Source organism: Homo sapiens, chromosome 8 (genome assembly GCF_000001405.40).
Source record: "Homo sapiens chromosome 8, GRCh38.p14 Primary Assembly".
Taxonomy (NCBI): Eukaryota; Metazoa; Chordata; class Mammalia; order Primates; family Hominidae; genus Homo; species Homo sapiens.
This window is the reverse complement of record NC_000008.11, coordinates 29,527,135-29,551,150: the sequence shown is the minus strand read 5'-3', so window position 1 is coordinate 29,551,150 and position 24,016 is coordinate 29,527,135. Positions and strand designations below refer to the sequence as shown.

The 24,016-nt window shown below is 43.6% G+C and overlaps 2 long non-coding RNA genes across 3 annotated transcripts, besides 3 other annotated features; one reads left to right on the top strand and one right to left on the bottom strand.

Annotated features, from left to right (window-relative positions):
• Positions 1–6,580: 6,580 nt before the first annotated feature.
• Positions 6,581–21,535, bottom strand: LOC105379350 (uncharacterized). 2 transcript variants are annotated; one of them, XR_001745859.2, is made up of 3 exons: positions 21,269–21,535; positions 7,147–7,263; positions 6,581–6,733 (listed from the first exon to the last, which is right to left on the bottom strand). It is a non-coding gene; the product is annotated as an uncharacterized LOC105379350 (long non-coding RNA). The 2 variants fall into 2 exon arrangements; XR_007060877.1 differs by lacking the exons at positions 6,581–6,733; positions 7,147–7,263 and adding an exon at positions 19,632–19,968.
• Positions 20,807–21,852, top strand: LOC107986935 (uncharacterized). Its single transcript, XR_001745860.2, has 2 exons — positions 20,807–21,106; positions 21,239–21,852. It is a non-coding gene; the product is annotated as an uncharacterized LOC107986935 (long non-coding RNA).
• Positions 20,904–22,103: an enhancer, noted in NCBI's record as "MED14-independent group 3 enhancer chr8:29386565-29387764 (GRCh37/hg19 assembly coordinates)". NCBI's record gives its function as "activates an origin of replication core promoter dependent on BRD2, BRD4, P300/CBP and CDK7 cofactors, and independent of MED14, by STARR-seq in HCT116 cells {active_cell/tissue: HCT116}" and the evidence as "EXISTENCE:reporter gene assay evidence [ECO:0000049][PMID:35650434]".
• Positions 20,944–21,885: an enhancer, noted in NCBI's record as "H3K27ac-H3K4me1 hESC enhancer chr8:29386783-29387724 (GRCh37/hg19 assembly coordinates)". NCBI's record gives its function as "activates a minimal SCP1, AML or CMV promoter by ChIP-STARR-seq in primed H9 embryonic stem cells {active_cell/tissue: H9 hESC(primed)}" and the evidence as "EXISTENCE:reporter gene assay evidence [ECO:0000049][PMID:30033119]".
• Positions 21,247–21,496: an enhancer, noted in NCBI's record as "active region_27201". NCBI's record gives its function as "activates an Ori minimal core promoter by ATAC-STARR-seq in GM12878 lymphoblastoid cells {active_cell/tissue: GM12878}" and the evidence as "EXISTENCE:reporter gene assay evidence [ECO:0000049][PMID:35858748]".

Sequence of the window (24,016 nt, the reverse complement as noted above, 5' to 3'; positions counted from 1 at the left end):
AAGAAAACAAAGAGAGGACATTGTCAGAGAAATAATAGAAAACTTCTCAGAACAAAATAATATGAGTCTCTGGATTGAAAGTAACCACAAAGTGCTCAGCATAATAAATGAATAAACAAAGATCCAAACTGAAGTATGACAGCCATTTAAAAAAGAAGATACTAAAAGCACTTAGAACAAAACAATCACATGGAAAAGAAATGAAATTGGAAATATATCAGAATGCTCTACGGCAACACAGGAAGCCAGGAGACACTGAACCAATGCTAACTTCAACATTCTGAGGGAAGTTATGGATGTACCTGGAATTCCATTACCAGCTAAATTATCAATCAAGTATGAGAATAAAGATATCTTCAAATATACAAGGAGTCTGGAATATTTCCTCTAATGTACCTTTTCTTAATAAGCTTCTAGAGGATGTGCTCCAGAAAAATAAGGGAGTAAAATAAGATGAGGATGCAGGACACAGAACAGGTGCAAGGAAAATCCAGGAGGAAACTGGGGAGTAGGACTATGGTAGCAGTAAGTACAGACTGGACTAGAAGGATAAATGGCTCAGGGGCAGTTGTCTTCGAAGCACAATGGGATTGATCAATTATCAAGAATATTTGACCATTTGAAGGCAAAATGGAAGGTGTTGGATAGACCTCAGCAATCATGAGTGTGGTGGAGAATTAAATAAATTTTAGTAAATTTTTAAAAAATAATTATTATCTCCAATAAAAACAAAAATTTCTAAAGCAAAATGTAATTATAGCACACCACTTGGTTTAGAAGTGAACAATACATATATAACCATAATAAAGTAAATGCCAAATCTGATTTAACCATAAATTTGATGGAACCTCATTGCACTGGTAGAATCAGAGAAATGGGATAGGAAGTGCACAAAAGCTCAACTCGACTGCTATAATACATGTAGATAGATAATGTCTAAAACTGATAAATCAAGAAATAACCATTTATACTTATTATTTAGAACCCAGGAACTAAAAACCAGAATAACCAGCTAAAAGAATGGATTGGAAGTAACTGCCTCTGGACAGCAAGATCACAGATTCGTTGTGAACATGGAGACTGTTATTATTCATTATTACTCTTTAAATACAATTTGACTTTTAACCAGGTTATGTATAACTTTGATAAATATAAAAGTAGTTTAAAATAAATAAGTACAATAAAGTAAAGGCTGAATTATTCTAAAGAATGATTCTGAGAGGGGTAATAATTATGATGGCTAAGACTTAAGTCATGTTCACTATCTGCCCAAGCTTTCCTTAGCATTTAATATATATTAAATCATTTAATTCTCATAACATTACATGAGGTCTCCATTTTGCAGACAATGAAACTGAGGCAGAGTAAAGTTAAGTAACTCATCCAAGATTCATGCAACTTTTAAATGGTCTAGTCAGGAATTGGACTGAGACAGAAGGTTCCAGAATCTGGGCAATTTACTACCCATTGCCCTTTTAGGAAAAAATGTCTTCCAACTCCCCTCTCCCTTCCTTCTATGTGCTATTTAGGTTCAGTGATTCTAGTTCACACAAAATATACTAAAGTAAACAATGTTTTAAAACATTCAAAAATACTTTGCAAGACTTTTTTTAAACAAACGTTTTTATTACTATAAGTTGTATAAATTGTAAAATGATGATTACCCATTGTATAAGATTGATTTTAAAAGTCAGAAAAATATAAAGAACAGATTACCCTCTTCCTCAAAGGCTCAAATTCAGTGCATCTCTGGAATTGGGCAGAGAGATGTGAAGACTACTCAAAGACCCTGGATTTTTAGAGCTTCTGTTGTATTGAAACTCTTAAAGTTTGAAGCTATTTAAAACTCGAAGCATTTCCATCAGAACAAGGTCCCAATTTCATATCATCATCCTTTCCGTGTCTGAAAGTATCATTTCCCTAAGTATGGGCAGCAGAACTATCATACTAATCATTTTGCAGGAAGAGTAAGTACTACTATCATGACTGTCTCAATTATTATAATTATTATCTTCTCTAAACTACCTGATCAGGTAATCCCAGGCAAGCTGGTGGTGGTACCCCAAGGGATAAGTTTGAAAATAGATGCCCAGGGCCCTTAGGTTGGCATATGCTAGATTAGTTTGTCAGAAGCCATGACATTTTTTCAGAATCCATGTATATGACAAGGTTCTCTTTGTCTCTTAGGTCCTCTGCCAATACTTCAGTCTCAGTTCTGAGCCTAAATTCTGAGAAGACTCTTGAATTACCATAGTTGGATTCTTTCACTGTATTCTGTGTGGCAAGAAGCTTCAGACAAAAACACTCTGGCTGGGCGCAGTGGCTCACGCCTGTAATCCCAGCACTGTGCGAGGCAGGCAGATCGCTTGAGGTCAGGAGTTGGAGACCAACCTGGCCAACATGGTGAAACTCTGTCTCTACCAAAAATAACAAAAATTAGCTGGGTGTGTTGACTCACGCCTGTAGTACTAGCTACTCAGGAGGCTGAGGCATGAGAATTGCTTGAACCCAGGAGGCAAAGGCTGCAGTGAACCGAGATTGCACCACTGCATTCCAGCTTGGGAGACAGAGCGAGACTCCATCTCAAAAGAGAAAAGAAAAGACCCTAATGCTCATTTATTGAACACTGTGCTCACACATAAATCCATTTATTGCTTACAATAGGCATTCAGGTTAGTCGTATTATCCTTATTTTAGAGATAAGAAGACTGAGGTTTAGAAAGGTAAAGTCACTTGCCTAAAATTACACAGTGGGATCCCAATCCGGTTGTGTGAATTTCAGCCAGTAGTGTGATTCAAATCCAGTTGTATTAACAGGTTTCTCCATTATCCAGATCATTCTTGGTTTCCCTTGTCTGCAAGAATAAAGCTACAATATACTTAGATGATTCAGACCCATGGAATATTTTTTAAAGGTCAGATGTCTTTTCTTCACAAGCAGGTGCAAGAGCCTTAATGAGAAATCATTACTTTTAAGAATGGTTTGAGATATATTTAGAAGAAGAGAAATGTCTTTCACTAAAATCACATATGCTAAAAGGTCAGTCTAACATTATGAGCATTGTCTTGGGGGATTTTTGGAGAAGAGGGAAAATATGGTGTTTAAATCATTTAAGTGACCTCTTAAGTTTCCCTTATTTTTAACATAATTCCTTAGTAAGCTGATGGCACTTCCAGCTTTGAAGGGTTTTTGCGTATATTTGATGTTCTGCTACTTCCCCTTCCTTTGAGAGAAATATTGGTTATCTTCCAAAGAGCTCTGGAAACATTTTACAGGTCTATGCATCTCTGGGGGAAAATGGCTTCTTACATAAAATATTGTTTTAAGCATTTGAAGCTGGCTTTGTTAATCTTCCATTTCTTAAAAACTGGGACATCACAGTGACATTATAAGAGAGCAGTTGTCTATAATTTGCATGGCTAAATTTGGTTTCTAGATTGTCAAATATGCAAGTGTATTGTTGGGAATAATAGTTAATAATAGTTTCCAAGCAAGTCGGAAATAGAGCCACTATCATTTAAAGGCTGAAGCCAAAATGCAACTGCCTCTCCAGCAAGATAATGAATTAATGAGGGAGACCTCTTTCAAACCAACAAACACCATCATTCAGAGATATCTAGGTGCCCACTACCTTGAACATCAAGTTGCTAACCCATAACAATGTGATCACTAAGAATAGCCCCATTACCACCTCTTCAGCAAGGTCATGAGTTAAACAGCTGGCTCTTGAATCTGTGCTCTGCTGGAAATGATGACTACAATAAGAATAAGGCCCTGGGTTTATAGAGCTTTCCTGAGAACAAGAACAAGCTATTGGATTATGGAAGGGAGTGACTTTAAGACTCTGAGATTCTAAGGCACCTGCAATAGCTCCTTTAATGCACTCCCAAGAAAACTCTTAAATTTCCCCAGCATGGATTTTGCACTGGATAGTCTCCATCTGTCCTGCCAGAACCACTCTCTGTCCATTTCCTTTCTGCACTGTGCTGCAGCCAGGAAGCTGACCTCTAACGACTGCAACCACACAGCTCCAGTGACCTCTGTCTTCCAGGGCACCAGGCGTGTGATCAGAGGGCATTGAGAGAGTGAGGATGGAATATTGATACCTCTGATGCAGCAATAGCAGTGCTTCTGTACCTACAGCTCACCACACCTCAGCTACCGCTCCCTACCCCTTGGCACTCGGTGCCAGTGGCTTCCTGCTGCTGCTGATCCTGAGGCTTCCGCATCCCTTATTGCTTTTCTCTAAACCGGCTCTACCTTTGTCAACGGCCCCTCCATGGAACTCTTGATCACCCCTTTTGAGTGTGTCATTTGTTTTCTATGGGACTCCAGTTGATACAATAGTCCTCATTCTCCTCCCTTGCAGCAAACTGATGTTGGCTCCTGCATATGGAGATTGCAGCTTTTGGGGAAGACAGAGGTTGGTAAGATGTTAACTATCCAGGATGCTTAAGACATAGTCCCAGCCCAGCTATTAGCTCTTTGTGTGAACTGGAGAAAGACATCAAAACCTCAGTGTCTGGCTTTTACAGATCAGATTCCCAACTACACATGCGGGAATCTAATCCTCTTCCCGCCAATCAAGCCCTTTGCAGAACCATGCTGCCCTCACAGCCACTACACACAGTTTCTACTTAATGCTTCACTTCTCCGGCAACATGATACAGTCTTTGCCAGTAGACGCTGCTTATTTTGTCTCTACCAACATGCAGAGCACAATTCTTAGGCCACAGTAACTTCTCGGTCCTTGTTAACTTGGGAATAACTCAATAGACATAAATTTATATCAGCAGTAAAATACACGTATCCATGTATTTTGTAACCATTTGCCTTCATGTTCTACACTGCTATTGTTTTTTTCCTAAGGCCTTTGGAAATAAATAAAATGTAATATATAGCACATCCTGATATACAGATATATGTGTGTGTATCTGTATCTATTTATCTATCTATCTACTTATCTGTCTATCAATTGTTAATATTATCTAGGGGCAGGGGACAGAGAGTAGGGCCATGAAATAGAAAGGATGGGCTCTATAGCAATATAGCTCTGGGTTTCAACTCCAGCTCATGCCACTTACTGAGTCACCTTGGGCAAGTTGCTTAGGCTCTCAGATCCTATTTCCTCTTCTGTAAAAATGGTGATAATCTCATCTCTGTGGCAGGTTATTGTTGAGGATTAAATTCTTTGTTTTATATAAAGTATCTGACCCATAGAGGTGCTTAATTAGAGTTCATTTCCTTCTTCCCAGAATTATGGCTTATAAACAATGGAGATCCTGAAATTCCATGTAAGTCTTGTTTCTTTTTCCAAGAGTCCCTTGGTTCTTTGAGTCAAACAGCCCTGAACCAGAACCTCTGACACCAGAAGCTTTGCAGACTGACAAAATAAACTTTCTACTGCTGAGAACTTCAAATTAATCTTATCAAAGTCCCTTGAGGTCCAATGATTAATTGTCAGAAATGTAAGTGATTAATAAGACTTAGGAGTAGCAAAGACATACATTTATTACCTAGTTCCTGGATTCTTAAGAAACAAAAGCAGACTCAGCTGGTCACGGTGGCTCATGTCTGTAATCCCAGCACTTTGGGAGGCTGAGGCGAGCAGATCTCTTGACACTAGGAGAACAGCCTGGGAAACATGGTGAAACTCTGTCTCTACAAAAAATAGCCGGACATGGTGGCACACCCCTGTAGTCCCAGCTACTTGGGAGGCTGAAGTAGGAGCATTGCTTAAGACCAGGAATTTAAGACTGCAGAGAGCTATGATCATACCACTGCACTCTAGCATGGGCAACAGAGTGAGACCCTGTCTCGGAAAAAAAAAAAAGAGAAGAGAAGAAAAGAAAAGAAAGAAACTAAAGGAGCCTCTAGGAAGGAACCATGAGGTTGTGATCAGCTTAATGTTAGATATCTTCAACCCAACTCATCAATCTGCTCACCTTTACAAGCTAATAAGAAAATATAGAGGCCAGAGGAAACTTTATTTATAGACAGGATCTCACTCTGTCGCCCAGGCTGGAGTGCAGGGGCATGATCAGGGCTCACTGCAGTCTCAACATCCTGGGCTCAGGAGATCCCCCTGCCTCAGCCTCTTGAGTAGCTGGGACTACAGACATACACCACCTAATTTTTGTATTTTTTTGTGGAGATGGAGTTTTGCCATGTTGTCCAGGCTGGTCTTGAACTCATGGGCTCAAGTGATCCTCCCACCTCAGACTCTCAAAGTGCTGGGATTACAAGCATAAGCCATCACACCTGGCCTAAGAGGAAACTTTTGAAGGTGATGATTATTTTCATTATTTCAATTATGGTGATGGTTCATGGGTGTGTATATATTCCAGTTTACTATTATATATCAATTGGACCTCAATAAAGCTGTTTTTAATAGTCATACAAGAAAAATAAATTTAAAAAAAGGAAAAAATTCACTGGCCTATGCATTATGTTTTGTATATTTTACTGTATATGTTATAGCTCAATAAAGTACAAATAAATATAGTAACATGTCAAGCAGTGAATATAATATGCTACCTTGTGTGTAAGAAATAGAGGGTATAAGAATACAGATTTGTATGTGTTGGTATCTGCATAAGAGTTTTATTTCTAAAAATAAATAAGGATCAAATGACAATTATCACTTTTGGTCCAGGGAGAAGAAGATAAGGATGGAGGCAGGACTGAAGCTTCTCAATGCATATCTCGTCATAGCATCCTGTTCCTTGTATCCTGTGAAAACAGAAAGTAAATAAAGAATTTTAAAAGGAAGATGAGTAACCAAGTGACTGGAGTGGGAGGTTGGGGGATTCATACAGAAAAAAGAAAAGGTCAGATGGGCATTTTCTAAAATCAGAAATACTTTGAAAGCACAAACAAGAAAAGCCCACATCGGAAGGTTCTGTGATGCTGAGTGACAGCGCCATCAGGATTTGAGGGCATAGAGTAGACGTGACCTGCAATCTGCTTGCCACACGATCTATCTACTGCCCAGGAGTAGAAACATTTTGTTATACTCATAACAGATTTGCCAGGTATATTTAAAATTAAACAAACCCAAAGCACCATATTATGTACTTCAGTTATGAAACCAAATCAACCAACCAGGACATACCTATTAAGTGACCTCTACATGTTAAACATACCTGCAGCAGCGCTGCCAGGGACCCAAAGAAGGGGACTTGCAAGACGAGGCTCATTCCCCTGGGGAGATCAGGTCAGCTCAGGTGAAATGGCAGGGGACAGTTCTTGACAGTTGTCAGCTGCAGAATGAGGAGGTGCAAGTTCAAAGGGGCCAGCCAGAGAAGGCTTCAGTGACTCAATTTCTAGATATTAATTTTTTGGTCTGCACTGTTAGGCCCCACAATGGAAGGAAAAAATATGGGTTCAGCTTCTCATCAGCCAGAAAGGGATCCCACACAGCCCACACATTGCTCGGCTTTTCCCCTTGCCCATCTTTGAGTCAGTGCCGGGTAAGCCCTTCTAAGAGGCTTTCCTCCTTGGTTCCCCTCCCTCATCTCTCTTCTAGGCCCCTCTGCATAGGTCCTGGCTTTATCCTGCCTCAGCTGCCTGGGCTCTGCTATGAATTAGTTTCCTAGGACTGTTGTAAGGAAGTATCACTAACCAGGTGGCTTAAAACAACAGATATCTATTCTCCCATCCTTCTGGAGGCTGGACGTGCAGAATCAAGGTGTCTGCAGGGCCACACTCCCTCCAAACCTCTAGGGGAAGACCTCTCCTTCCCTCTTCCAGCTTCTGGTGGACAGAGCATCCTTGGCTTGTGGCAACATCACTCCAATGTCTGCCCTGTCACAAGTGTTCTCTGTGTGTGGCTGTGTCTCTTCTCTTCCTGTAAGTGTAACTGCCCAGTGGGTTCCCCTTGCCTGCTGCCTAGAGAGAACCGATTTATCAAGACAGCGGAATTGCAATGGAGAAAGAGTAATTCACACAGAGCCACCTGTGCAAGAGACCAGAGTTTTATTATTACTCAAATCTGTCTCCCCGAGCATTCGGGGATCTGAGTTTTTAAAGATAATTTGGCAGGTAGGGTCTTGGGAAGTGGGGAGGCTGATTGGTCAAGTTGGAGATGGAATCATAGGGGGTCGAAGTTAGGTTTTCCTAATGTCTTGTGTTCCTGGGTGCAATGGCAGAGCTGGTTGGGCAGAACTGGTTGGGTCTGGGTGGTGTCAGCTGCTCCATCAAGTGCAAGGTCTGCAAAATATCTCAAGCTCTGATCTGAGATTTTACAATAGTGATGTTACCTATTGCGGGATCTGGCCAGCAGCCCGCAATGCAATAGGGCTCTCTCTTTGTTCCCAGGCAGGTCGGCAGGTTGAGAAATAATAGACACACACAAGATAGTGAAAGCTGGGTCCGGGGGGGTCACCGCCTTCTGGTCCTGTGGTGCCAACAATGCACTGGATATACCAGCACTTATTAAATTTAGTGAGGGCAGGGGTAGGTTAGTGATGGATTTAGGGTCATTTGATTATGAGGTGAGATGGTCACATGGGGATGAAGTAATTCTTTAACATAACATTTGTATGTAGAAGTACAGTACATTTGTATGTAGAAGTACAGTATACAGAGATAAGAATTTACAATATAGTGTGTGCATCAGTAATTTTTAACAGAGCCTTAAAACCGAAACACAATCTTTCCATAACCTATGATTAGCAAGATATTAATCAGCAGTAACAATTGCCACACAAGCTGGTTACGAACAATCCATGGAAACAGGACGTGAAGCTAGACAACCGGTTAGACCAGAAATTCTCAGAAGGGAGTATGCCTTAACCCTAAAGAGGCCTAGAAGAGCCATGGCAAGATGAGGGCGTTTATAGCCCTATCGTATCCATATGGACAGGTGCCACCCCTCCCCAACGCACCCATTTATAGGCTCTCCACAAGGGTTGCATTCCATTCCCAGAGCTATGAACATCTGCTTTTCTGGGATAGGAATCTTGGTGATGTGAAACCTCCCTGACTGCACATCCATTCATAGGCTCTCTGCGGGGGGAAGCACATCACGCGCTGTTGGCTCTTTCTGGCAGTCCAAACTGGCATTGTCTTTACACAATCCTGCATGTAATTTTGTATTTACAATAACCAGGAGCATTTCATCTTTTACTCCGTAGCAATAGTTTCAGGGGGACTCCCTACAGTTACCCCCAGGAGCAATTTGGGGAGGTTCAGACTCTTGAAGCCAGTGGCTAATTTCTAATCTTATAGCTAATTTGTTAGTCCTGCAAAAGCAGATTGGACCCCAGACAAGAAAGGGGTCTTTTCAGGAAAGGGCTATTATCGATTTTGTTTCAGAGTCAAACAATGAACTGAATTCCTTCCCAAAGTTTGACCTACGCCCAGGAAAGAACAAGGACAGCTTAAGGGTCAGAGAAGCAAGACAGAGTCGGTTAGGGCTGACTTCTTTCACTGTCATAATTTCCTCAGTTATAATTTTGCAAAGGCAGTTTCTTAAGGGCACTAGTTATACTGGATTAAGGGTCCACCCTATTCCAGTATCTCCTCTTAACTTCCATCTTAATTACTTCAGCAAAGACTGTACTTCCAAACAAGGCCACATTCATAGGTACCAGGCGTTACCACTTCAATATGTCTTTTTGGGGGACACAATTCAACTCACAACACCCTGGATACCTATATTCTACTGAGAGGGACCCCACCATACATCAGGTCTATTCTGTCATTTAAATAGAATCCCAAGGCAAAACTTCCCAAGGGTGATTCTGTTAAAAGCCTCCTTCCCTGCTGTGGGGCGGGATGGAGATAAACAAAGGGGTAAAGAGGATGGAAAACCCACCTCCTTCCATGTTGGGGAGGATGAGTACAGGCAGGAGAGAAGGACAGAGAAGCCAGCCCTGCCAAAGTGCATGTTCTGCGTTGATGCTACCTGCTCATCTGCTGGTTAAATCTCCTCTAAAGTGATGCTGACTTTAAGCCTGTAATGGAAAGGAGGGTAGAACCTGCTCTACCACTGCCTCTGAGAAGTCATTTAACCTTTCTGATCTCTGGTTTCCTTGCCTGTAAAATGAAGGGGTTTAACTATATTACCCGGGGTGTGGTGGGGGGGTTAGCTTGAAAATGTCCCCAGTTTTATGGTGACATTTGGGGGTTTCCTGCTCTCACGGACTCTGGGTTAATCAGAGGCAACTGACTGAGGATGTGGCAGACGTCCCAGGCAGGGGTCTCTGGATGGAGACGCTGCCTCACAGCAGTCCCTGGCCCCTCTGCTGCCGGCACTCAACAGTACCTGGGCTGGTAGACCAGAAGACTGAATTGGTGGCACGGAGAGGGTGGCTGTGGAAGCTGGTTACACAGAACACAGCCCTGGCTCCCTTGGCTTCTTGGCTCTGGGAGGGAGCTGAAGCTCCAGTTAGGGAGTCATGTGGGTTCCTGCAATTCTCATTTTTCTACCAGTCACTTTCCTTGCCTGCTGGCACCTCCCTTCAGAGCAGAGAAAGGGACATTGAAAATGACCAGTTAGGGCAGAGCACGGTGGCTCATGCCTGTAATCCCAGCACTTTGGGAGGCCAAGGGGAGGCAAATCACTTGAGGTCAGGAGTTTGAGATCAGCCTGGCCAACATGGTGAAACCCCGTCTCTACTAAAAATACAAAAAGTTAGCCAGGCCTGGTGGTGTGTTCATGTAATCCCAGCTACTCAGGAGGCTGAGGCAGGAGAATTGCTTGAACCCAGGAGGCGGAAGTGGCAGTGAGCCGAGATGAAACAACTGCCCTCCAGCCTGGGAGATAGAGTAAGACTCTGGAAAAAAAAAGAAAGAAAGAAGGAAGGAAGGAAGGAAGGAAAAAGAAATAAAGAAAGAAAAGAAAGGAAGGAAGGAAGGAAGGAAGAAAGAAAGAAAGAAAGAAAGAAAGAAAGAAAGAAAGAAAGAAAGAAAGAAAGAAAGAAAGCAAGCAAGCAAGCAGGCAAGCGAGACTTACTACCTATTACCATTTGATTAGAAGGACTTTCACAAGGCCTTAGATTTCCTAAACTTGACCTCTCCACATCCCCACCTGCTTGGGTGATGTTTCCCATTCAGTCCCACTGCCCTGTCCTTCTGGAGGGCCCCTCTGCATTTTCCCAAGGCTCTCCTGCACCACTGGGCACTGGGTTCATTCCCCCAGCCAGACATTAATCCACCCAGTCAATAAGCAGTTTTTAAGAATCTCCAGGGTGAGTAAGATGCTCTCACTGCACCTAGGGAGGCTTGCAGGACAGTAAGGATAATTACAGTCCAAGTAGCTTCTATTGTGCCTGGGCTTTCCTAAAAAGGGCACCAGGAGGACAATGGAGCAGAGGGTGAGGGGACACAACAAACACTGTGACTCCCAGACTCGAATTTCAACCCAGGCTCCTTAAAGCTTGAAGGCCCTTGGCTTGGGGAGATGGAACAGTTTGCATAGAGAGTTCCTATGATGGGTAGATGTGCATCATATCCCTTGGGCCATGTCTTTGAATTGGTATCCTCCATGGTACCAAATACGGAGCCACTGCATAAATGTGTTTCCTTCATATCTCTGCCCAGTAAGTGGCCCTCCCTGCCCAAGGGAACGTTTTTCTCTGGCAAACAGTCATGCCTTCCCTACCTCTCCATGCCTCCCACTCCCAGCACCCGCTATGGATTAGAGTCATGTGAATCGTGTGCCTCTCCAATAGTCCTCGCTGACATCCATTGCTTACGCGATCACTAGCGTTTCATTCTGATTACAAAATTTTTTCCGCATTGCAACACAAGCCCCTGCACAAGATTGATCTCTTCCCTTTGCTGTTACCATTTCTCATGTCTTGTTTTTATTAATACATTCGTTTCATCCTAGCAGCTTTATTTCAAGTGAGTCCAAGCTGACTTCCTCTTTTAACTTAATTCAGTCTCTGGGGAAACTGGCCTCCGATTGCATTTGAAGAGCTCTGATCCCATGCTGATGCCCTTTAAGCACAGAGACTACACTTTCTTCTTATTTTTCCCTCAGCGACATCCAACCCAAATCCACTTATCCTGTGTGCTGCTCCTGTGTCCTGGGTTCAGTTCATTGAGATAAGCTCCTTGGAAATTGTTTCTCTCTGCCTGAAGACCTGTAAAGACCTATGAAATGATGAGACCTGGATAGAAGAGTGAGTGACTACTCCAGAGGCTGAGGCAGGAGAATTGCTTGAACCCAGGAGGCGGAGGTTGCAGTGAGCAGAGATAGTGCCACTGCACTCCAGCCTGGGTGACAGAGCGAGACTCTCTCTCAAAAAGAAAAAAAAAGTGAGTGACAAGGTCATCGGATGCATGGGGTCCTATGACTCATTACTTACGTGACATTTCATAGAACTACTAATCAGCCCCTGTGTTTCTATTCTGCACTCCAAAACCTAATGGCTTAAAACAACAATTTACCTGTCTCACAAGGGTGCAATTGGCACAAAGCTTGCAGGAAATCTCATCTCTGCTTCATACAGTCTCACCTGGGGTGGTTCGACTGGGAATTGGAGAATTAGTTCTAAGATGCCGTATTCTTGCACCAGGAAAGTCGGTGCTAGTGGTGGGATGGGAGCTCAGCCAGTGCCCCCAACCCATGAAGGTACTGGAAAATAATGCGTAAAAACAGCTTCAAGAGTATAACCTGGTGTCTGGGGCTCTAAGGCCCAAATTAGATGAGTCCTGTTTCTGAGCTCAGACTCAAAAACACTTATCACTTGAGGCAAAATACTCTTGCTCCTCTGCCGGTTTCTCAGGGCTCCACAGTCAGCAATCTCTAGCACACAAAACCCATCTGACCTGACTCTCCAGAAGCACACCCTCTCCCCCACCTGTTTGCTTTCCCTAGCATGTCTTGCACCTTCTTCTAGATTTACACTTGTTCTGTTTTATGCACAGGAATTGCCTTCTCCACCTGTCTCCAATTTATTCAGATTCTTGAAGGACTGACTCACGTATCAATGTATCCAGCAAACCTCTGTTGAGTAGTTAACTGTGTGGCAGGCCTATGCCAAGCACTATAATACAGGATACAACAGTAAAAGGCCTGGTCTCTGATTCAAGGAGCTTATGCTCTGGTGAGGACACACACACACACACACACACACACACACACACACGCACACACGCACACAATTTATAATACCCTCAGATAATTGCCATAACAGAGATTTGCATTGAGAGAACCCAAGAGAAGCTGCCAGGCTACTCAGATAAGTTAAGAAAGACTTACTTCAAAGGTAGAGGTAGCATTTGCGTTCTCAGATGTCTTTTATTAGCAACAGAAACATCTCTGCATACATAGCCCAACACCTCCTTCCCAAACTTCTCTTCTCTAAAAATTTGCTTTCCTTGGAAAATCAACTTCAACAGGGTCTCCCAGCTTTTAAGTGTTTTCTAAAGTACAGTGCTACTTAACAGGGGATCCACAGATCAGCAGCATTTGCAGTGTTTTGATAGAAATGCAGCTATATGAGCCCTGCTCCAGACTCACTGACTCAGAATCTAGAGGAGACAGACAGAAATCTGTGTTTGAACAAGCTCTCCTGGCCAGGCGCGGTGGCTCCCACCTGTAATCCCAGCTCTTTGGGAGGCCGAGGCAGGCGGATCATTTGAGGTCAGGAGTTCAAAACCAGCCTGACCAACATGGTGAATCCCTGACTCTACTAAAAATACAAAAAAATTAGCTGGACGTGGTGGTGCATACGTGTAATACCAGCTCTCGGAGGCTGAGGCTGAATTGCTTGAACTCAGGAGGCCAGGGTTGCAATGAGCCAAGATCATTCTACTGCACTCCAGCCTGGGTGACAGAGTAAGACTTCGTCCCAGTTAAAAACAAACAAACAAAAAAAAGCAAAAACAACAACAACAAAACAAGCACTCCCAGCTCTCTTGGGCACACTCACGTTTGAGGAGTGGTCCTAGGAGACTTGCTCCTGGTCTGCTAATCTCTCTCTGCCTTTCCTTCCAGCTCTGCTCCACAGTGCTAGCCCTCAGCAAGTTAGCCTGCCTCCTGGACCCTAGCTAATTAAATAACTCAGCCCCACTCTCCTCCCCTCCACTCGCTTCCGACATCCAGGTCTCCTCTTCAAACAGCACCATCAAGCATTCATCAGTCATTCCCTCCGAACATTGTTCCCATCACAGTTTCTTCTGCCTCAGTTGGACAAGCTGTACGTGTTTCTGTTTTCTTCCCATAGAACGTGCCAGACTCATTGCCTACCATCTCTTCAATAACTGACTGGTTGAAATCTAGAGAAGAAAACATGACTTTTGGAGCGAACCTGCTACAATTTGGTCTCAGTGCTTCAGAGATTTAAGGCATTGCCACAATGAGGTTTTTTCTATTGATGCTTCAGGTTCATCTACTATACCAACAATCTTAACAGTTTTCTTTAAAACTCTTCTTTTTTCTTATTAAGTCTGAATCTGAGACAAGATCTAAAATATTCCTGGTTTTAATTAATTCCTTTTTTTGTGTGTCTGTGATTGGGAGTTTTGTTTGTTTTCCCAAGGGACCAAGATTTCTTTGGGATATGTATTACTATGTAGAACCCATATATTAAAAATCCAATATTATATTATGTAATATATTGCATATTACCTTTATATAATTTATTCATTATTTATTTATCTATGTAATATATTTATGGTCTGATTCACATATTTGTCTCATTTTGGATTTCTATTATATTAAATTATATATTAGAAATCTAATATATATTATATAACATATTAGAAATTCAAAATGAGACTAATAATGGCCCTGCATTTAACCACATGGCAATGTGGTAGTGGGCTGCTAGCTTTGGAAATATCCAGATTGTTCAACTGCCATGGGCTCCTGGGGTTGAAGTCATCATTTTGGCAAATTAGCACTAAGTCTGCTTCTCAACCTCAGAAGCTCAGAAACTAGGTTTTTTTGGCACAGATATGGTGGCTGCTCCTCTCCTAGCCAAAATCTCAGGGATGGACCATGACACTGAGGAATCAAACCAGAAAGTCAATTTATTGGCTCACAATGAGCAATTACTCTCTCCAGAAATGCAAAACCCTGGTCCACATATAATCGATGCATTCTTTTTCCATCTATAGTCCTATGACATGGGAAGCCAAACCATTCTCTGAGTCTAATTTATAAATTTTACAACAGGAAATCACCAACACAGGAACTAGAATACTTAAAGTCTGTATGACTAAGACATCTTTTCCCGCAAGGAAGTTTCCATGGGAGCAACATCATAATCTAAGGGTTGCTGTTATGAGTTGAATTGTGTCCCGCAAAAGGTCTCTTTAAGTCCTAACACACAAGACTTTGTGAATGTGACCTGAGTTGGAAGTCAGGGTCTCGCAGATGTAATTAATTGAACCCGCGAGGCGGAGGTTGCAGTGAGCCGAGATCATGCCACTGCACTCCAGCCTGGGCGACACAGCAAGACTTCATCTCAAAAAAAAAAAAAAGAAAAGAAAAGGAGAAGAGACAGAGACACACAGGGAAAAGACAGCCATGTGACCACAGACTCGGGAATAGGAGCGAGGCATCTACAAGTCAAGGAGCGCCACAGGTTGCCAGCAAATACCAGAAGCTACGTTCTTCCCTTCAAGTTTCTGAGAGAGCCAGGCTTGCAGACATTTGATTTCAGACTTTTGGCTTCCAAAACTGTGCAAGAATACATTTCTGTTGTTTTAAGTCACCCAGTTTGTGGTACTTTGTTATAACATTCCCAGAAAACTAAAACAGCTGCTTTTTCTTTTTCTTTTTTTTTTCGAGACGGAGTCTCGCTCTGTCGCCCAGGCTGGAGTGCAGTGGCCCAATCTCCGCTCACTGCAAGCTCTGCCTCCCGGGTTCATGCCATTCTCCTGCTTCACCCTCCCAGGTGGCTGGCACTACAGGCGCCCACCACCATGCCCGGCTAATTTTTTGTATTTTTAGTAGAGACGGGGTTTCACCGTGTTAGCCAGGATGGTCTCGATCTCCTGACCTCATGATCCGCCCGCCTCAGCCTCCCAAAGTGCTGGGATTACAGGTATGAGCCACCATGCCCAGCCAAACAGCTGCTTTTTCAATATGGAATCCAAATGAAGGGAATTAGGGAGAATCCCATGTTTAAGGGAATCAAGCTCTGAGAGCCAGCTCACCTTTCTCATTACAGAGAGGACTTTTCAACTGATACTGAAATATTCAAAGTCTATTAGGTAAGACCCAATCTTACATGGAAGGTACTCATGAGATTAAGTAGTACTTATGGGGTCAAATTTCACGCTTAATAGAAATCCCACACATTAAGGCACATGCCCTCATTTCCAAGTAGCAAATGAGACTGGCTGGGCCTAGTACAATCCTTAAGAATAAGCAAGGACTCCCGAGAATAACTTACTCCATGGCATTCCTCCCTCCCCTTTTTTTTTCTGGAAATAAGGCCCATATTTGGACAATGCCTTGTAGCTGGCAAATATCTTAGAAAAAATCTTCCTGAGCTTCATGTCACAGCTTTTATGCAGTGGCTTCTGATGCTTCCTTTAGGGGTCAACAGACTATGAACCAAATAAATAGACTTCTCTTTTTTTTTTTTTCCTTTTTTAAAAGACAGGCTCTTGCTCTGTCACCAAGGCTGGAGTTCAGTGGTGCAATCTTAGCTCACTGCAGCCTTGAACTACTGGGCTCAAGGAATCTTCCCACCTTCGCCTCCAGAGTACCTGGGGCTACAGGCACACACCATCAAGCCTGGGTAATTTTTTGTTTGTTTTTTGAAGAGACCGGATCTCACTATATTGCCCAGGCTGGCCTCGAGTTCCTGATCTCAAATGATCCTCCCAACTCAGCCTCCCAAATTGATGGGATTACAGGGATGTGACACCACGCTGGGCCCTCTTTATATCTTTTAAGATGTCTCTGCATATCTCTGCTCTGATTGTAAGTTAATCTTACATTTAACTCTTGGCAACCTTGTTCCCCAATTTGGACAGGAAAACCACTGGCGTTCCCAAGTACTGATAACACATATGCCACTACTACATGGCCTAAAGTATGAGGGAAGAATACCAGAAAAAGCCTTGAAGACGCTATTTTAAAAGTTGTTGTGTATTATGGAAATACTGTTCATTTTTTTAGGTGTTAATGGTATGGTGGTTTGTAAAATGTCCTTATTCTTAGGAGATGCAAGTTGAACTAGTTCGGGATAAAAGATCATGATGTATGCAACTTACTTTTAAATGATCCAGCCAAACATGTACACACACACACACACACACACACACACACACACACACACACACACAGCTACATATAAGAGATAAAGCAAACCTGGCAAAATGTTATCACCTGTTCAATCTAGGTACAGGATATATGGGCATTCATTCATTGCAGTACTCCATCAACTTTATGTATGTCTAAAACTTTTAAAAATAAAACATTAGAGGAAAAAAGCTGTATCCTTTAGGGTACTGTAGGGTAGAAGCAGGATGGAGAGAATCTTCCTTTTCCCCAGCAAGGCTTCTTCTTGAAAACAACAACAACAACAAACAGTGGAGAAATCTATATGCAAGTGCTTCAGACTGAGATGTTAAGTAGAAATCCATCTTTGTTTTAGATAGGGAGTCTGTAGAAATTATTTATGGCATTAAGGCATTTTTGCTTCCTCTGGTTGGGGTAAGGAGATAGGGAGGAGCAAGGGACAAGGGTTAGGGAGTGTATAAGTCCTGAGTTCATCATTTTCTTTCATAACTTTGCCCAGCGAACTTAGGAGCAACCAACCAACTTCATTACGTTCCTTGGTTCTCCACATATAGTCCAAGGTATTATGTATAGAGTCACTAAACTCCTTACCTCTCATGAGGGGTGAATCAGGAGTATCAAATGCATTTATTTTGCATAATTCTCTGAAGAGTTCACACCAATGGCTATTAGTGTTCTCTGTACTATTAGCAGTAGAGTCCTTAGCATTTTGGGGTCTAATCATATTAAGCAGCCAACTCCAGAAACCCCAAAACCAACTAAAGAACTCCATCCTTAATATTCTGTTCCTCTAGAACCACTCCTGGTACGAAAATCTATATTAGTCAGGGTTCTCTAGAGGGACAGAACTAATAGGATAGATAGATATATATAAAGGGGAGTTTATTAAGTAGTATTAGCTTAGAGGATCACAGAGTCCCACAATAGGCCATCTGCAAGCTGAGGAGCAAGGAAGCCAGTCCAAGTTCCAAAGCTGAAGAACTTGTCTGATGTTTGAGGGCAGGAAGCATCCAGCACATGAGAAACATGTAGGCTGGGAGGCTAAGCCAATCTAGCTTTTTCATGTTTTTCTGCCTGCTTTATATCCTGGCCACACTGGCAGCTGATTAGATAGTGCCCACCCAGATTAAGGGTGGGTCTGCCTTCCTCAGCCCACTGACTCAAATGTTACTCTCCTTTGGCAACACCTTCAGAGACACACCCAGGATCAATACTTGCATCCTTCAATCCAATCAAATTGACATTATTAACCATCACAGGGAGCAAGAGATTCTGGGCCAGGAGGTGAGCTCCAGGGCAGGGCAGGAGCAGGCAAGGGTGGAGGCAGAGACGATCAGTAGTGAGAATGTTCACCATTCTCCAGGGAGTGGGAAGGGGGCTCCTGTACCCACCCTGCTGCAGAGAGGCTGAGCTGAGGGCAGCTCTGCGGCACAGATTAGGAGCTGCCAAAAGGCCAGAGTTAACCTGCAAGAGGACCCAAGCAATGACTTCTAGAGTAAGACAATAGGTAACTGGCCCCTCCCTAAGGGACCCTTAAAAATATGGGGAGGTGAGAGGACTGGATTTGCTGAAGGGCCACAGGAGTGGAGGCTCAAGCCATTACCGTGGACAGAGAAAGCTTGGGGATATGTGGATTATGTATGCAGAAGGGACACATTTTTGCTACCCAGTGTACCCTAACACCAGATGGTGTTAACAGGAAGGCCTTTATTTTGCCAAGTGCTTGGTGGGCTTGTGAAAGTCAACTGGGGACAGAGGCTGACACCTCCGGGATGTTGGCCTGTACAGTAAGGCCTCAAAGGAAAGTGAAACCTTTGCATTGAAGCAGGGAAAGAATTGGAGCACAAAGGAGCCAATCCAGGTTAGAATTAGTGAGAACCAGAGGGGCCAGGCATGGGGTGGCTCATGCCTGTAATCTCAGCATTTTGGGAGGCCAAGGCAGGTGGATCACTTGAGGTCAGGAGTTTGAGACCAGCCTGGCCAATGTGATGAAATCCCATCTCTACTAAAAATACAAACATTACGGGTGTGATGGCACATGCCTGTAATCCTAGCTACTTGGGAGGCTAGGCAGGAGAATGGCTTGAACCTGAGACGTGGAGGTTGCAGTCAGTTGAAATTGTGCCACTGCATTCCAGACTGGGTGACAGAGCAAAATGTCATCTCAAAAAAAAAAAAAAAAAATTAGTGGGGACCAGAGATAGGGGATGGCAGAAGGCTCAGGGCTCCACAAGGGGACCCCATCCCACAAACACCCCAAACCTAGTAAGTTCTACTTAAATTCAGGATGTTTGGCATGAGCAAGTCCCTAATGAAAATAAAAAGTGGCTTTCAGCACCCCGAGACCCATGTTGCCCAACTGAACTGAGGTCTGTGCCTCCAGGGCAGTGAAGCCAAACATTCAAACTGAGGTTTTGTAGTGAGAGAAAGGAGGGTGTTTATTTTCAGGGCACCCAGCAAGGAGAATCAGGCAGCTCACCTGACCTTCCCAGTGGCTTGCAAGCAAGGGTTTCTAAAGGCAGGCAGGCAGAGGTTACACACAAAGTCATAAGTCAATACATGGAGGCTACATATTGGTTTGACCTTAACACACAGGATATCTTGAAGCAGGGGCTTACAGGTCACGGGGTAGGGGATTCAACAATTTTCTGATTTGCAGTTGGTTAAGGAAGGGAAGCTCTATTTAAAAATTGAGAGTCAGCATTAAAGAACGTTAGGTCTGGCCCATGGGCGTGACTTCCTTCAGGTCCTTCAAGAAAAAATGCAGAACAAGAAATAGCAGTCAGAGTTCAGTCCTCAGTTTCCCCTTTTCTGAGGTCTGCGTGCCAGCAGATCCATTTGGTAGAGGTCTGGGTTTCTGAAAAATAACTCAGGAACATATGTTAAGATGTATCTTCAGTTTCTATAGGGAACCAAACATCTCATGGCTCTAATTTTATTGCTATTGTTTTATGGTATGATTACCTTTTTACTTATGAAGTTGCTCATTAATTTCTCAGGGATAGCTAGGTGCCTGCAATTTTCCTTAAAGGAACTCAAGATTTTTATTTCCACACTGTGGAGGAGGGGTGGCGTGGCAAGCCCCTAAGAGGGAATCCTCCTCCATCTCACCCAGGCTAAACAGAGACAGAACATTCAGACAGACCAGTGGGGCAGGGGAATCTGCCGCACATCCGCTGACATACACAGATGTATACGGTATTTTCAAGTCTGATGAGAAATGGTTTGGGTATATGTCATTCCCCAGCACAGGCACCAATATCTTCCCAAGTAGTTTCCTTCCACTTTTACTAGTGCCTTCTCCCTGCCGTCCCCTCCAGGGTTCCTGCCGTTTCATGCCAATAATTTAATTACTCTCTTTGCAGAGGCTCAGTTCTACAGACAGCCTAATTTGAGGTTTGCCTTACTCTTAAATATATATATCGTTTCAATGGATTTATGAAAGGGAGAAAAGAGTGCAGAAACAATTAAGGCATCAAAGACAAGCTCATCCAAGCTCCCAAGGACAAAAAAAAAAAAAAAAAAAAAAAAAGAAAAAAATGAAGGACCCAGCCAAGGACCTCCTCTTCCCTCTGTTCGTGCTCTCTGACAGTGACCAACACCAGGCTTTCTGGTCAAACAGCCTGAGCTCCTGGGCGGATTTTCCTGGTGTTTTCAGCAGAAGGAACAGCTGTCCCGGGATTTGCTGGTATTCCCAGGGAGCTGGAACTGAATTGTTGGCCAAACTGCAGATGATTCGTTTAAGGGTCGGAATGAGAGACAGACAGGGCTTTCGGAGATAAATAATGAACTCCACGTGGGTACACCATTGAGCCGTATCCTCAAGGGTTAACAGCTTAAAGGTTATTGGGGTTTCTGGCTACACGCTAAGAGTCCTGCTTCCTAATGTAAGCTCCCCTCCCCCACATTCTTTAAACACATTACTTCCTCAAGCACTTCCTCTGGCTTAGGGGCGGGGTTGGGGGGAGAAGGATGCAAATTTATCTAATCTCTAAAAAAAACCTCTGGTATTTGTGCAGTGAGTTTCAGGCTGAAGAGAAGAGAGAGACCTGCGGCTGTTTCCGCCCACTCGTCCCAGCACAGCCACCAGAGAACGCCGCGTGGTTTGTTGTTTGGACCCTCCCAGAGCCTCTTCCAGATGCTGTTGGAAAAAAAGAAAAGAAAAGCTGGGCAGCCAGTGTCACAGCCCAGATGCCATCTCGGTCTATCCGCGGAAATGCAAGCACGCAGCGCCAAGCCCAACCCAGTAGGTGCCAGGCCCTGGGTGCAGGCTTCAGCTTCACGCCACATCCTCTCTCTCTTTTCAGTCTCTGAGTGACTTGACTCAGCCAGGGAGAGGAGATACCTACACATCCGCATGAAGGCGCGTGGGAGGAAGCCGAGAAATGACGGATGGCGCAGGGCCTACTGCAGCCGCACGTAGACTAGCTCCTTCTTTACGGGCAAAACCCCCTACTTGTCTGCAGTGGGAAAGGAGTCCGTTCAGGGCAAGCTCTGATCGCTGAGCTATGGATGTAGATGGTAACTAGGCGTCTGGAGGTCATTACACACCATATTCGGATGGTGGAAATCATTGCTTATTTCAGGACACTAAAATGGTCCATTTTTATGTATTAAAGTTATTAAGAATGAACTGGCTGGGCCGGAGTTGTGGCTCACTCCTGTAATCCCAAGACTTAAGGAGGCGGAGGCGGAGGCGGAGGCGGGAGGATCGTTTGAGGCCAGGAGTTCAAGACCAGACTGGGCAACATAGTGAGATACACACCCCACCGCCACCACCACCCCAACAAAAAACTTAACAATTAGCTGGGCTTGTGGGTATGTGACTTAGTCCCAGCTACTCCGGAGGCTGAGGTGGGAGGATCACTGGAGTCCAGGAGCTCCAGGCTGCAGTGAGCTATGTGATTACACCGCTGCACTCTAGGCTGGGCAACAGAGGGAGACTCAAAAAAAAAAAAAAAAGAGCAAATGGCTGGCTCACTGTAAGGAATTTTGGAATTTTATCTGGTTAAAACAGGCTCTTCCCGCCCACTTCCTCACCCGCCTGGCTGTGCCTGCCCCAGTCCCACCCTGAGTGGTGGCTTACCCAGGTGTGGCCGCCCTGTGGTCAGCTCAGGAGGCATCTCCGGGTGGGAAGGTGACTTAGTTGTCTCACAGTAAAGTTACACTGGGCCTCAGTAGATAGTCTTTGGTCCCCTGTATCAGCATCCCCAGAGAGCTGTGCAAATGCACATTCCTGGCCCTATGGCACTCTAAGCTGGACTCTGGGAGTGGCAGCTCAGAAGCTTTAGTATAAGCAAGCTCCCGGCTGTTTCTTGTTGCAGATTAGGGTTTGAGAACCACTCCTCTTTCGCCACATTGTAAACTCACTAAATGCTCTCCTAGTGAGTAAATAAATATAATAGAATCTAACTCCTGCAAAGGTATTAACCAGTCTGTCTAACAATGGTGGACATTTTTGTAAAGAAACTCTTGAAGTTTTCAAAACTTAAGTTTAAAATGGCAGCTCCTTGGTTTGTGGGGAGAGCTGTCAGAGTGGGAACCCTGTCCACATCCCCCCAGATATTCACATACACCCACTACTCATAGACTCCCAATCCCATGGCGAAGAACACGATCTTGTTGGTGTTATTTTCTCACTGCCTACCAAGCTGCCCAGCAGGCACTTTACAGACTTTATCTCCATATTCATATCAGCGTACAAAGTACAAGTCCCAATTTCCAGACAAGGAAACTGGGGTTCAGAAAGATTAAACAATTTGCCTTCTTATATTGCTACTAAGGGCCAAGGTGCAGATTCAAATCCATTCAAGTCCCAAAGCTTGCATGATCTTACCACAGTCACCAAAATCTATTTCATAAGTTCAAAATGGCATCAGAGGTTCATAATCAGGACAGGCAATGCCCTGCAGGTTTATCTAGAACACCTTTCCCACTTTACAGATAAGAGGCAATGCAGTATGAACCTGAGGCTAGCTGATATGATTTGTCTGAGCTGCTTAGTTTTGTTTAAGAAACTTGAATTATTCAATATTGAAAATCCTTGAGATTTTACACTAAAACTCAGACTTTTTCTCTCTTATAAAAGCAGATTTTTGTAACCCCGAACCCCATTCCTGATTCTGTTCATGGTTAACTGTATAGGTTTTGAAATCCACAGACGTGGGTTTGAGTCCTGGCTCTAGGCCTTATTGGCTACGTGACCTTGAGTAAGTCACTTAACCTCTCCGGGCCTCTTTTCCTCAACTGTAAAGTAGACATAGCAATAGTATCCACTTTATATGCTGGCTGTGAACATGGGATGAGGTGATATGTGTTCAGTGCTTAGCACTGTTGCTTAATAAATCTTAATCGGTATAAACTTAGATTGTGCAGGCCTTGACAATGGCGATACACCTAGTCTATGACAGAGCCAAGACTCACACCCCGATTCCAGACCCCAATCTCCAAACTGCTTCCACTGATCATCCCCCAACCACCCTCATGCCCCTCACCACTCCCCATGAAGTACCTAGGTAATCTTGCAAGCCATGAAGAAACCTGAGTTTTCCAAATGTCTTCGATGGCGCTAGCTGGATACATCATTTCGCCTCAAGAGACAAAGTGTTCTTTGTGTAAAGAACACTCAACTGAGATAGAGATTCTACTCTCAACTGGCATACTAACCCTATGCAAGTCACATGTCCTCACCGCCCCTCAGTTTCCTCACCTGTAAGATAGGTAATGCCTATATCATGGGCTGAACTGTGTTACCCCAAAATTCGTATGTCAACGTCCCAACCTCCGAAATTTCAGGA